This window comes from Homo sapiens, chromosome 4 (genome assembly GCF_000001405.40).
Source record: "Homo sapiens chromosome 4, GRCh38.p14 Primary Assembly".
Taxonomy (NCBI): Eukaryota; Metazoa; Chordata; class Mammalia; order Primates; family Hominidae; genus Homo; species Homo sapiens.
Window position 1 is genome coordinate 153,543,870 of NC_000004.12, and position 13,765 is coordinate 153,557,634.

Here is a 13,765-nt window from a genome sequence, read left to right on the forward strand (position 1 = left end):
ATAATGAGAACAGCCCAGTAAGTGTCTCGTTAGCATAACATGTCATTCCTTGAGCACTTCAGAGTCTTGATACAATAACATTATTCTGGTTACCGTGGTCTACTTAGTTACCTTTCTTGAGGCAGAGGGGGTTTGTGAAATGGATGGGAAACCTTTCCTCTTGTCCATGCAACCTTTTGCCAACATCCAGCGGCTAAAGCCATTGTTGCTGTGGCCACAAGGTTTTTGTTTTTGAAACACCCACTGTCCTTTCAGGTGTTGGAAGAGTTTGCATCTCAAAGACAGCTAGCTAGATGTGGGGGCATCAAGAGATGGATGAAACCCAGTTCGCTGAGGAATATGGAAACCCAGACAGTTCAGTCCTCGATGTAGGTGCTCACTGTTGTGTCTCAGATCCCTGTTAGGAGGTGAAGCTATTTTTCACTTGTTCGAAAGGACAGGCCCTCTTCTGAAACACTGTGGTGTTCTCCAAGAGCTGAGTAAACCCTTAGGAATAAGGCCAGCACACATCCACAGCACGTCACCTGGGGAAGTGTCTGCTGAGTTTCCCTCGCTATCCTCCTCATGGGCCAGCAAAGCCTTCCTGGGTAGCTGCTATGGGGCCCAGGCTGCCCTCTGCCTTGGGCTGGCCCTCTTCCCTTACCCCTCACACTGGCTTCCCTGCCTCACTCTCCTCACTCCACCCCTGGAGCCAGCAGGCCAGCTTGTGAGTGCACTTTCTGTGCTCAGTTCTCCAAGGTGGTCCATGCTATCTTCACTCCTGCCATTGGCCTTACTGGAAGCAGCCTTTGTTCAGTGTCCCTCCGTGGTAGCTGCTCATTGAGGCCCACTCAGATAGCCCCATTCTCCAAAGGCTTTGCTGAGTTTCTCCGGTGGGTTTTCGCTCTTCTGTTTTTGGACTCTCCTGATCTCTGGGTTTTGATCGTGGGCATATGAGGCAGTCCAGCCTCCTGGGTGGTAAGCCTGAGGGGAGCATCTTCCTGGAGCTGACCACCTGCCTCCGTGCAGCTGAGCCTTATTAAATTGCCAAGAGCTTTGAGGTGGGGTCAGCAGTCTCTGGCCCTGCCTCTCACTCTGGGGAGATGAAGCTTTGTCTTTGAAATGACGTGTTTTGGTTGGATAACATTTGTGAACAGCTGGAACAGTTGGTTACAGCCAACTCATTTCCATGTCTAAGTTACTGGACTCATTTTTTAAAGTGTGTCTGATATCAGCAGACAGATTTAATTTTCCTAGGCATAAGAAATCTGGGCATCTACATGCTTTTGAAGGATCTTGGAGTCATCCAATGCAGCTTGCTCATTTTGTTGAAGAAGAAACTGAATCCCTGTGTCACATTGGCGTTCACGTCACACTAGGACCTGACCCAGCACCTTCTCATTTCCAGTGAAATTTCTCTTGTATCAGCCACTTTTTCAAACTTTTTTTTTTTTTTTGAGATGGAGTCTCGCTCTGTCGCCCAGGCTGGAGTGCAGTGGCGCGATCCCGACTCACTGAAAGCTCCGCCTCCCGGGTTCACGCCATTCTCCTGCCTCAGCCTCCTGAGTAGCTGGGACTACAGGCGCCCGCCACCATGCCTGACTAATTTTTTGTATTTTTAATAGAGATGGGGTTTCACCGTGTTAGTCAAGATGGTCTCGATCTCCTGACCTCATGATCCACCCACCTCGGCCTCCCAAAGTGCTGGGATTACAGGCATGAGCCACCGTGCCAGGCCCAAACTGTTTCTTTGTTGTATGTCTGTAGAAAAAAATGTGGCCAAAGTTTTTAAAAAGATTTTTTTCTTTTAAAAGATAAAAGAAAAAAGGCCAGGTAAAATCTTAGGCAAAGATCAATGTTTTTTCAAAATAAGACATGTGGAAATCCTTGTCTACAGGTCCTGCTGCTGAGAAAGCTCAGCTCTTTGCAGAAGGTCTTCAAAATAAGGACTAAGAGTGTGTGGAACAGGATCTGTATCAACAAGAGCTCAGACACTGCAGATGGCTCTTGCCTTTATTTCTTATCCTCGTGCCTTTCTCCTGTTATAGAAGCAAAATGGCCCCTTTTATGTGTTGCCCAGGCTGGAGTGCAGTGGTGCGGTCATTGCTCCCTGCAGCTTTGAACTCCTGGGCTCAAGGGATCTTCCACCTCAGCCTCCTCAGTAGTTGGGACTACCAGCGTGTGCCACTGAGCTCGGATAATATATATGTTATATATATAGTAATAGAGATGAGGTCTCACCGTATTGCCCAGGCTGGTCTCGAACTCCTAGGCTTGAGCAATCCTCCCACCTTGTCCTCTTAAAGTGCGGGGATTACAGGTGTGAGCCACTGCACCCGGTCCATTTTTCTCTTTTAACTAGGAGCTTTTTTTTTTTTTTTACAATTATCTTACAGATGGAGAAGGGGTGAAAATTAGAAATATGTGGCATAAATTTATCATTGATTTCTACAAGATGCATGTAATTATTTGATGCCAGGTTGTGGGGACTCCTAAGAGTAAAAGAGGCCAGGTGGTCTTTGACATACATGAATCATTATTATTAAGGGTGAAATATGAGAAGGGTGAAATGTGAAATGCTGACTTTCGCAAGAAAGGGGGGAAAAGGAGGAAATTTTATCTTTTATTGCTATAGTTCTTGAGATTTAAGTTATTTCTTTGAAGCGAACTTTGGCATTTCAAACAGGATATAATTTCTTGGCACTGATATTTGAGGATAATTGTTCATGTCTGTAGCTGACTAAATTTTAGCAGTTTGTTCTCTCCCACACTCCCCCAGTTTTTTAACAAATATTTGAGCCAGGCGCAGTGGCTCATGCCTGTAATCCCAGCACTCTGGGAGGCCGAGGCGGGCAGATCACCTGAGGTCAGGAGTTTGAGACCAGCCTGACCAACATGGAGAAACCCCATCTCTGTTAAAAATACAAAATTAGCCAGACCTAATGGCGCATGCCTGTAAACCCAGCTACTCGTGGGGCTGAGGCAGGGGAATCGCTTGAACCCGGGAGGTGGAGGTTGCAGTGAGCCGAGTTCATGCTATTGCGCTCCAACGTGGGCAACAAGAGTGAAACTCTGTCTCAAAAAAACAAACAAACAAATATTTGAAACATATGCATGTGTAAGTACTCTCCAGATCATTACCTATGTCTGAAATAGTTTTACCTGCAAGCGCTTTTAAATTTATATACTGACGTTAAAACTCCTTATAACTTAATGTAGTATTTTTCAAGCTGTAAAGTCAATTAAGCTGAAATCAGCCAATGAGAAAAATAACTTATTTTATGACTCTTAGAGAAAAAAAAATTGGCATGGTTTTATTTCTCTATTTGGGATCAAAATAGAGTTTTCTTTGAAGTTAGAGACACTCTGGCTATTTCTGCCATATTACTCTAGGTTTGGCCCTAAATGTCTGATTTTTATTGGGTATGTAAAACTTTCTAATTGTGGAATTTAAAAACCTCTATCAGAATATGAGACAGCCAAAGTTTATATTTCATTTATTCTATAATATTCAGAGCTAATTATTACCATCCCGTTTGGGGCTTTTAATTCCAGAGGTCGATATTGACTTTAAGCTCAATCAGCTTCTCCATCTGTTCTCTTTGCTTTTCTTATTAGATGAGGGTCATCCTCTTAGTAATATGAGCGAATATTTATTGACCTTAATGAAGCCTTTGCTTCATATCTGGCACATCATTTTATCTCATCCTATTATTTCATTTTATTCTCATGATAACTATGGGGTAGATCGTTTCCATTTTACAGAGAATAAGGTTAGGACTTGAGAGAGGTTAAGTGACTGATACTCTCAGGGCTGGAAGGTGATGGCCATAGGCCTCGAGTGCTCTGCTTCCCAAGCCGTCATCAGCAGGCCAGACTGCATCGGTTCCTTGGATAGGTCGTACAGTGCCTGAACTTGACACAGGGCTCATGTTTCCCACTTCCACAGATCTGGATTGGAATTTGGGCTCTGCCTTTTAGTAGCTATGTGACCTTGGGTGAATTACTTAAATCCTCCAAACCTCATCTGTTCATGTGGAGGTTGTGTAAAATCTGATGGCAAATTCACTTTTCAGTGCACAAGACAGGAAGAAGACTGTCATTAATTGCTTTATGCTATGCAGTAGCCTGACTTTTCTCAAAATTATTTTTGGTACATGAAGTTGCCTGTTTTTTTTTTTCTTCTTCTGAAATACTGAGCCTGGCCAGCTCCGTCTGGAGTAGGGTCCCTGTGGTGGACCTGCTGTGGGCACCTCTTCACCTTCGTTACCACCTGTGGTTCTTCACGTCGTTTCCGGAGGCAACTTCTCTGCAAGCCAGTTGTAGGATTAGTGCTGGCCTTTTAGGGTTTGAGTAAATAGCATACCTCTTCTCCGACCGTGTTCAAAACAAGTGAAGAGATTGACAAGAATTAGGCAGATGGAGCCCAAGGCATTACTTTATTTTTTTTTAATTTCTTTTTATTTTTTTGAGACGGAGTCTCGCTCTGTCGCCAAGGCTGGATGGAGTGCAGTGGCACGATCTTGGCTCACTGCAAGCTCTGCGTCCCGGGTTCATGCTATTCTCCTGCCTCAGCCTCCTGAGTAGCTGGGACTACAGGCGCCCGCCACCACGCCCAGCTAATTTTTGTATTTTTAGTAGAGACGGGGTTTCACTGTGTTAGCCAGGATAGCCTTGATCTCCTGACCTTGTGATCTGTCCGCCTCAGCCTCCCAAAGTGCTGGGATTACAGGCGTGAGCCACTGCGTCCGGCGGCATCACTTTATTATTAATACAGCTGGTGCTGGAGATAGAATAAAGGAGGTACAAACAGACTATAATGGAGAGAGGATAGAGAAAGAGAAGCTTAGGTAAAGGCAGAAAGTGGAGGGAGGAAGAAAAGATTGCAACTAGATTCTTCCTGTGAGACAAGGACTTTGGAAGGGTTCTCGGGTCTCTGCATTGTTTGTACCTTCAAGAAAAATGGGGCCTTGGAGAGGGAGTTGCTGAAAGGTCACAAAGCCTGTTGGCCAGCAGGTTTAAAAGTCAAATTTCCATTCCTGGACCAGCCTTTGAACCAGCTTGGTTGATGGCTGCTCGGTGGGAGGAGAAAATGGAAAGATTCTATTTACTTATTTATTTTTGAGTCAGGTCTCAAAAATGGTCTTGCTCTGTCGCCCAGTCTGGAGTGCAGTGATGCTATCATAGCTTACTGCAAGCTCAAACTCCTGGGCTCAAGCAATCCTCCTGCCTCAGCCTCCAGAGTAGCTGGGATTACAGGCGCATGCCACCATGCCTGGCTAATTTTTAAAATTTTTTAGTAGAGATAGGGTCTCACTGTGTTGCCCAGGCTGCTCTCAAACTCCTGGGCTCAAGTGATCTGCCTGCCTTGGCCTCTCAAAGTGCTGGAATTACAAGCATGAGCCACCATCTTCAGCCAAAAAGATTCTATTTTGGAAAGCTTGTTCCAGTCTTTGAAAACAGTTGTTCGTATTACCTTTAGGAGCTTCTTCAGTTAAACCTCTTTAGATTAATAGAGCTTTTAAAATGTCATATGGAAGTTGATGGTTTTTCATACTCATATGTGTATTTTGTATTTTATGTTTTTAAGTATGTTTATATGTCATGTATCTTTATTATGGTTTTCTTTTACATGTTTTTAAAAATATGTTTTGATATGTTTTTCTGCTATATTGATTTGTGCCTTTTGACTATGAAGGAAAATGAAATCATAGTGATGATTAATAACTGAAATGTGACCTGCCATGTGAGATTGTGTATGATTGTTATTCTTATGCAGGCTTGTGATGGTTGTAGCCTCACCAGCTATGCGACACTGTCCTTGCCTTGTTATAAGAAGTCTTAACAAAGTCAGAGGCCACAGTCCCCCAGGCCAACTTTACTTGTATATCATTTCCTGATTTAGGGTTTATGAAAATAGCCATGTCATCCAAATTCACCCAGAAATGAAGGCTATTACAAATTAAATCCATCTCTATTTCTGTCTGAATGCTTAAAAAATCTGTACATTTGATATGAAGTTCTACTAACCGTAATCTTAAATTATCTTAAGTTTACAACTCTAGAATTATACCAGACTTCTAATAGTTCAATTTTATCATTTAAAATCTATGAGGGAGTAAAATTATATGTCATGCATTGAGAGTCATTAGTCTAAGTACGTTATATCTCAGCATTTAAATGTTAAAACTACAACAAAATCAACCTCTCTTTTCTTTTTTTAGCTTCTCGGACAAACTATTTAGTGGAAAAGGCTTACATTTTCAGCCATCAGTTTTAGATTTTGGAATACAGTAAGTATCTTTTCTTTATAATTAAAACTCATTTTATTTATACTATTTATTTTCAGAATTTTTTTTACATATATGTACAATGTTAAATTTTAGGTATATTGATAATATGAAGGGATATTGATCCTGGGACTTAAGAGAAATATTTTTGTGAAAAGGAGAGTACAAGAATTGTTTCAGCCCTTTCTTTAATTTTTTCTTTTTTTGAGACAGACTCCTGCTCTGTCCACCAGGCTGGAGTGCAGTGGCGTGATCTCTGCTCACTGCAAGCTCTGCCTCCCGGGTTTACGCCATTCTCCTACCTCAGCCTCCCGAGTAGCTGGGACTACAGGCACCCGCCACCACGCCCGGCTAATTTTTTGTGTTTTTAGTAGAGACGGGGTTTCACCGTGTTCGCCAGGATGGTCTTGATCTCCTGACTTCGTGATCCGCCCGCCTCGGCCTCCCAAAGTGCTGGGATTACAGGCGCGAGCCACCACTCCTGGCCTTCTTTAATTTTTAATAAGTATACCTTTTAATATTTTGTAGTGATTGAAATTTAATAAGTCAATGTTGTTTTTCCAAAACAAATCCGGTTATTTTATAATGAAAAACTAAATATTGATGGTCTCTGAATTTTTGTACACTAGATTCATTTGCTCACTTGGTTTTACTTCTTGCTGTGCCTTCTGGATTCAAAATTGCACCATGCTTACAGTTGTTAGGATTAAGACTTTGGAGACTCAAGATGGGGAAGGCAGTGCATAAACTGTAATGACTTTACAGTATCATGTAAAGAACCGCAAGATGAAGACAGTGTGATATGAGTGTCAGTTGAGGGCCTAACTTGGGAACCTGGAAAAATTAAGGAAGGGTGACGCTGTGGAGATGAAAGCAACATAAGGACTCTTGTTGTCCGTGATAAAGTTTGGATCTTCAAGTGTTAAGCTTCCTGGATGCAGAATATAGCGCATTGAAAAGAACTTCTAATTAGTAGTTTCAAGAGCGAGAGGTAAAAGCACTGCTTGTTTCCGGGGCTGGCAAATAACACTTCAATTTCATGGAGAGCCTTTTGAGTGACAAGCAAAGTTTTGTGAATGAAATAACCATGGCCGTAGGAGAGCATCTGGGCTGGGTTAGGGTGGGCTCCTGGTGTGCCCTCCTTTATGCATCTGGATTGCTTTACATTCCCTTCTAATCATCAAAATGTTAGAGCTGCAGTGAAGGAGAATGAACTTGGAATTTTTTTTTTTTTTTTGAGACGGAGTCTTGCACTGTCACTTAGGCTGGAGTGCAGGGGCACAGTGTCGGCTCACTGCAGCCTCCGCCTGTTGGGTTCAAACGATTCTCCTGCCTCAGCCTCCTGAATAGGTGGGACTATGGGTGCCCGCCACCACGCCTGTAATTTTTGTATTTTTAGTAGAGACAGTGTTTTGCCATGTTGGCCAGGCTAGTCTCAAACTCCTGACCTCAAGTGATACGCCCTCCTTGGCCTCTCAGAGTGCTGGGATTACAGGCATGAGCCACCGCACCCAGCCTGAACTTGGAATTTAAAAGGACCATGTTGAGCTTTTTAGAAAAAGATTCTATAAAGGGAAGAAGAGAAAACTGGGAGTTTGCCGACTTTATAAAATTCTAGGTGTCTGTTTTTTTGAGTTTTTATATTTTTACTCTTATGTAAAGAAAGTTTAATAGAAGCTGAATGCTTAGTAGTTTAGTTGATAATATAAATAAGCTGAATTTATCATAACCTCATTGATTTTACATTCTGAGAGGGTGCTATAATTTTGTGAAAAATCTTTATTGTGAGGCTGAGCGCGGTGGCTCACACCTGTAATCCCAGCACTCTGGGAGCCCGGGCTGGGCGGATCACTTGAGCTCAGGAGTTCGAGACCAGCGTGGCCAACATGGCAAAACCCGTGACTCTAATAAAAATACAAAAATTAGCCGGACATGGTGGTGAGCATCTGTAATCCCAGTTACTTGGGAGGTTGAGGCACAAGAGTTGCTTGAGCCTGAGAGGCAGAGGTTGCAGTGAGCCAAGATCATCATGCCACCGAGTTCTAGCCTGGGCGACAGAGGGAGACTCTGTCTCAAAAAAAAGAGTCTTTATTGTGAAAAGAAATTTTGATTCAGGACCTACTTTAAAGAATATATGTTATAGATTGGTAGATAGAATAATAGTAGTAGTAAGTATAGCTATTAGGATAATAATTCCAGTTCATAGGTTCCTGGCTGTCTAAAATATTTACTCTTCAGTAACGTAAAAAAATCCTATAGTCGATGCACATGGGGGTATGTTTACAGTTGTCCCTCGTTATCCACATGGGATTGGATCCAGGACCCCCATGGATACCAAAAGCTAAGGATGCTCAAGTCCTTGGCATAGTATTTACACACAACCTCCCATATACTTTAGATTATCTCTAGAGGCCGGGCACGGTGGTTTATGCCTGTAATCCCAGCACTTTGGGAGACTGAGGCAGGAGGATCACTTGAGGCCAAGAGTTCAAGACCAGCCTGCGCAACACTGTGAGACCCTGTCTCCATAAAATTTTTTTTAAAAATTAGCTAAGCATGGTGGTGCACACCTGTACTTCCAGCTACTCATGAGGCTGAGGCAGGAGGATCACTTGAGTCCAGGAGTTCAAGGTTACTGTGAGCTATGATCATGCCACTGCACTCCAGCCTAGATGACAGAGTGAGACCTTGTCTCAAAAAAACAAAAACAAAAAAAACTCTAGTTTACTTATAATGACTAATATAGTGTAAATACTATGTAAATAGTTATACTGTATCTCTTTTTTCTTGTGTTGTTATTTTTTGTGTTTTTTTTTTTCCCTCAAACACTTTCAATCAAGGTTGGTTGAATCTGCAGATATGGAGAGCCAACTGTATATGATACACTTTTGTTAATTAGCAATATACATTAATCTCTGGTCCTAATAGTCGCATGCTGAGAGAATGCTGAAAGTCTTTGATTTGAAAGGATTTCTGATTTTTAGATGGAATCACCTTTGGAGGACTTAGTTACGTTTATATAATACTTTATGGTTCCCAAAGTGTAATCATGTCCGTTGTCATTTGAGTTTTATATCAGTCCAGTGAAGACAGGCATTATCTGAGTCTGTGTGTATCGTTTTCAAATATCTCTTTGTTTGAGCATGTACTACAAATGTGTTCATACATTTGTTGCTGAGAAGGAATGCCATTTGCTCAAGGTCATTTCACTACAAGTGGTAGAATAAATCTTCTGATTTCTAAGAGCACTCATAATGCTATTTTTCTTGTTAGTGAGATCTGGAATATGATTATGAGAATTAGTCATTTTGCTGAAGTTAAAAAAAAAAAAAACCTCAGAACAAACTTTAGCCTAAATTAGAACACATTTAAGATTAGTTGAGTTTTACCTTATGTCTGACAAATGGTCTAATATATAGACATTAGAGTAAAACTTTAGCCTGAGGGTTCTCCTCCTGATTTCTTCGCTGTCCCAGTTCAGCTTTTGCTATGGTTTATTTTGATGTTGGCCTCGAGCAAATCCCAACCCTCTTCATAGCTTTGATTTTCCTGGGGGGTTGTAAAATCGGGATCTTGTTACTCGGTTGCCTTCTGCCTACTTCTTAGGGCTTATGTGAAGGGTTAATATTCTGTTGGTCCTGAGATAAAAAGTGCTAATCATTCATAGAGATTTTAATCATTCTTTTGTAGTGTTAAATTAACAGAGTATCTTCCAGTTGTCACTAGTGAAGGAAATTTATATCCTCATAACACTTTTAAAAATAGAATCTAAAAAATAGAATAAAAATAGCAGTGGTGACTAGGCTTCAGCTGGCATTCTCTGTTAGGTCTGGAGAGATTTCTGGTGGTGCAGTCACTGGCTCTGTAGCATTGCTGTTTTGCATTCTTATTTTCTCATGTATTTCTCTGATAGACATTTGTATTCTTAGAAACCTTGTATTTCAATTATGTACATGGGATATAAAGCTTTGAGGATAAGTATTAATAACTTTGATGATTGATATTATTTACTTGAAACCCAAAACCTCAGAAGTCCTTATTTATTTAATTTTAATTGTGGGAAGAAAGGCAGATACAAGCCCACTGCTCTGAGGTAAGGCTTTTCTGAAGTGACCCTTTATGTGTATGGTAGTGTTGAACATTTTTTAAAAAAATGGTATTACTTAAGAACACTTTGAAAAATCAGGATTTTAATCACATTGATGTTGGTATTTTATTTGTAATGGGATGTGAAGAACTACGTTTTGAAATACACATTGGATATATTAAACCTTTCGTTAAGACTAGTGATTAAAAGGAAGGGTGAAAGCCAAAAGAAAAATTCCAAGGATTTGATGGTAGTAATACAGTATTTTGGAAATCTCATTGTATATAAGAGAAGCAACATCCATTTCATGTTTCCTAAAGGATACATTTTTAATATCAAAGATTTTACCTAATTTTACGGAATTCATTCATTATGCTGATATTTTTCCAATTTTATTCCAATTATAGATATAATTCATTCAGCTTAAATTAGAATATAATTTTATTTCTAGGCCATCCGAATGACAGCTGTATATTTGGCTCTCTCTGCCACTGAGGCTATTAAAACTGAAGAAATGACTTTAGTGAAATTTTTGCTGGCTCCCTGTTCATTGCAACATAATTGAACAAGACTGAATTTGGTCTTGAGCAGTAGGAATCAGAGTTAAGTGATTAGAGGGAGCATTGTAGGTGGCTCCAGGTAGGTGGGCCTGAGCCCAGCTCCTTTCCTCTTGGCAATTCCTTTATCAGAGCCGAGACATTGGAGGTGGAGAGTGCTGCTGAAAAGAATGGGTATCAAACCCTTCATGAATTAGTGTATTTGCCACGGAGCAGGGATTCTTACTCTGAGGTTTGTGGAAGGTTTTGAAGCTGTGTATGAAACTTTTCGTAAGTGTATGTTTGTGGAGGGAAGAGCCAGAGCTTTCATCAGAGTTTTTGGAAAGGCTCATAATTTAAATGGATGAGAACCTCTGCTGCAAAGTGCTGCCGGATTTTCAGTTTTCTCAAAAGAATAGCCTTTAGCCATAATTAAGTTTTCCTTTTCTAAGACCTAATAAAATAACATCTCTTTGTGAGCTGAAAATACATACCTCCCCAAAAAGTCTCTTTTACTCAGAAAACATAACCCTAAGAAAAATTGGGTTTTTCTGTGAGTACAGTTTCTTACCTAAACATATTTTCGTTTGTTTCAATATTTTCGAATGAATATTTCAGTGAATTTTCATTCATACTTTCATTGAATTATTCAACATATTTTCATTGAATTAGAGACCCAGGTCCGAGAAGTGCCAGTGAGTGCCTACATGTGTTTTGTTTTGTTTTTTTGCAAGCATTTTAATGGCCTAGATGGGTTAAATTTTTCTAACACTGAAACCAATGGAGTGCTACTGTGGGTTGGCCTAAGCCTTATAAAATAAAGTTGTTTTTTGTTTTATGACTTTTGACTGTTGTGAATTGAATGCTTTATTACCAACACGATTGGATAATTTAACTTTGTGATGAACAGCAACAGCTTTCTGGGTTTAAAAATCTGTGTGTATATATATAATAATACATATATATGTATGGTAATATTTATAACCACACAATACATTGATTTTTCTCTTTGTTTCTCCTCCTAGGTTCCTGGGACATCCTGTAGCAAAGATTCTCCATGCTTACAACCCTAGTAGGGACAGCGAGGTTGTGGTGAATTCAGTGTTTGCAGCTGCTGGACATTTCCATGTACCGCCAGTTCCCTGCAGGGTGGGTGTTGATGGACTCCTGGAAACTATGCCGTGGCAGGCAGCCAGGTTTTCTTGCTTTCTTTGGCCTGAAGTTTTTACTTTCTGCTCCCTGTCTCCCGCTTTTTCTGGTACCCAAACCTTTTCCTTCTGTGTGTTTACCTTAGCATTTACTTTTCCAGTTGCTCATTTTTATAATTTTGGTGGCTCTTGATATCTACTGGGGCCGGGGGGAGGTGGGGGGTTGGGGGAGAGTTTGAAGGCTCTCAGCTGTGTAGTAATGTATGTATATTTAACATGGCTCTATTGTGACTAAGGAAAGTTTATATTACTTGTCTTGAAATGACTCCAAATTCTGAGGCATTTAGTAACTAATACAAGTTTATGGTTGAGACCTCTTCCATCTCTCAAGCCTACTAGGAAAGTTAGGTCTCCTTTCTAAATCCAGAACTGCAAGGTATAGTGAATGGCTCCTTGTAAAGCTGATTGGCACCATAACACAGAGCTCAAACTTAGTCTTCTAATAGTTTTAATTTCAGTGGTCTTTAACATTTAGTGAAGATCCTAATTGCTAGTAGGCTTTTATTTATTTTGCTTACTATGTCTGCCTGATATTATGTACTTAAAAAAAAAACTAGGACTAAGGATATGTTGTAAGGGGAAGCCCAATATTTGGTTTATGACAGTCTGTCTGGGTAAACGTTGTTCCTGATTTTTATTACATATCAACATGTTTGCACGTTGGTTATTGTCTATATTTAAGTAGAGATAGAACTGTGTTAGCTAAAGACAGTTGGACCTGTGGAGGTGGAAGAGGAGGGGAAGGAAAGATGTGAGACTCACAGCTCCAGTCTGAAGCGAAAGGATTCATCCTAAGTTAGTGGTAATATTTGCTATATCTAAGAGCAGATAATTGGATGCTGATCAGTTTGGGGATTCTTAGGGATTCATAATACTGATAAGGGTGCACAATATACAAATGTCTGTTAACAGAAATTGTCAAAAAAAGAAAGTCTGTGAAAGACAGTTTATCAAAGGAGGCCATTCCAAGTGGCTGACTGGGGACCTTTCTTTCAGGTAATTCCAGCAATGGGGAAAACTTCCTTCAGAATTATTTTCTTACCTACTGAAGAAGGAAGCATTGAAAGTTCCTTATTTATTAATACCTCTTCGTATGGAGTCCTTTCCTATCATGTGAGTAACTTTTTCCTTTTGTCACAACTTTGGTTGGTGACTTAACTGTAGGGGTGTGTGTGTATATTTTTAAAAAGACTTTTGGAAATGTTGTCACCTGGTTTATGTCGTTAAAATACAAGACTGTTAGTGATGTTAAAATCATCAGCATTCACCCTTTTCTGCCTGACATGCCACAGTTGGCTGGCTTTCCTACTGATGACGGAGCTATAGTCCTACTGTGGGTCTTTGGAGGATACTAGAACAAAGCAAAGCAATCTGTCACACAGTTTCCCATCATAAAATACAGAAGGCTTTCAAAACTCATGGCTCTCACCTCACGGGCGTTCAGAAGGAGGTGCTCTAAGGACAGTCTCTAGTGATTTTGCCTACCTTCCCTCTTTGGCTCAGGAATATTTCTAATTAGGAGACATTGATTGTGTGCTTGGAGGCTGGTTCCAAGGGAGCTCACTATTCATATCAAGGTACCAGGAAGGGAGCTTGAAGAATCTTGTTGCTATTCTCAGAAATAGGAATCTTTACCTTAAATGGTACCTGATATGGCATTTAACA

At 40.7% G+C, this 13,765-nt stretch overlaps 1 protein-coding gene across 41 annotated transcripts in view; it reads left to right on the top strand.

Moving 5' to 3' along the window:
- Positions 1-13,765, top strand: part of TMEM131L (transmembrane 131 like) — a 170,352-nt gene that overhangs the window by 77,510 nt on the left and 79,077 nt on the right. For all 41 annotated transcript variants that reach the window (XM_047449899.1, XM_011531780.2, XM_047449901.1 and 38 more), the window contains exons 4-6: positions 6,204-6,272; positions 11,918-12,041; positions 13,097-13,213. In XM_047449899.1, coding sequence (XP_047305855.1) covers positions 6,204-6,272; positions 11,918-12,041; positions 13,097-13,213 — 310 coding nt within the window. The remainder of the gene's footprint in view (positions 1-6,203; positions 6,273-11,917; positions 12,042-13,096; positions 13,214-13,765) is intronic.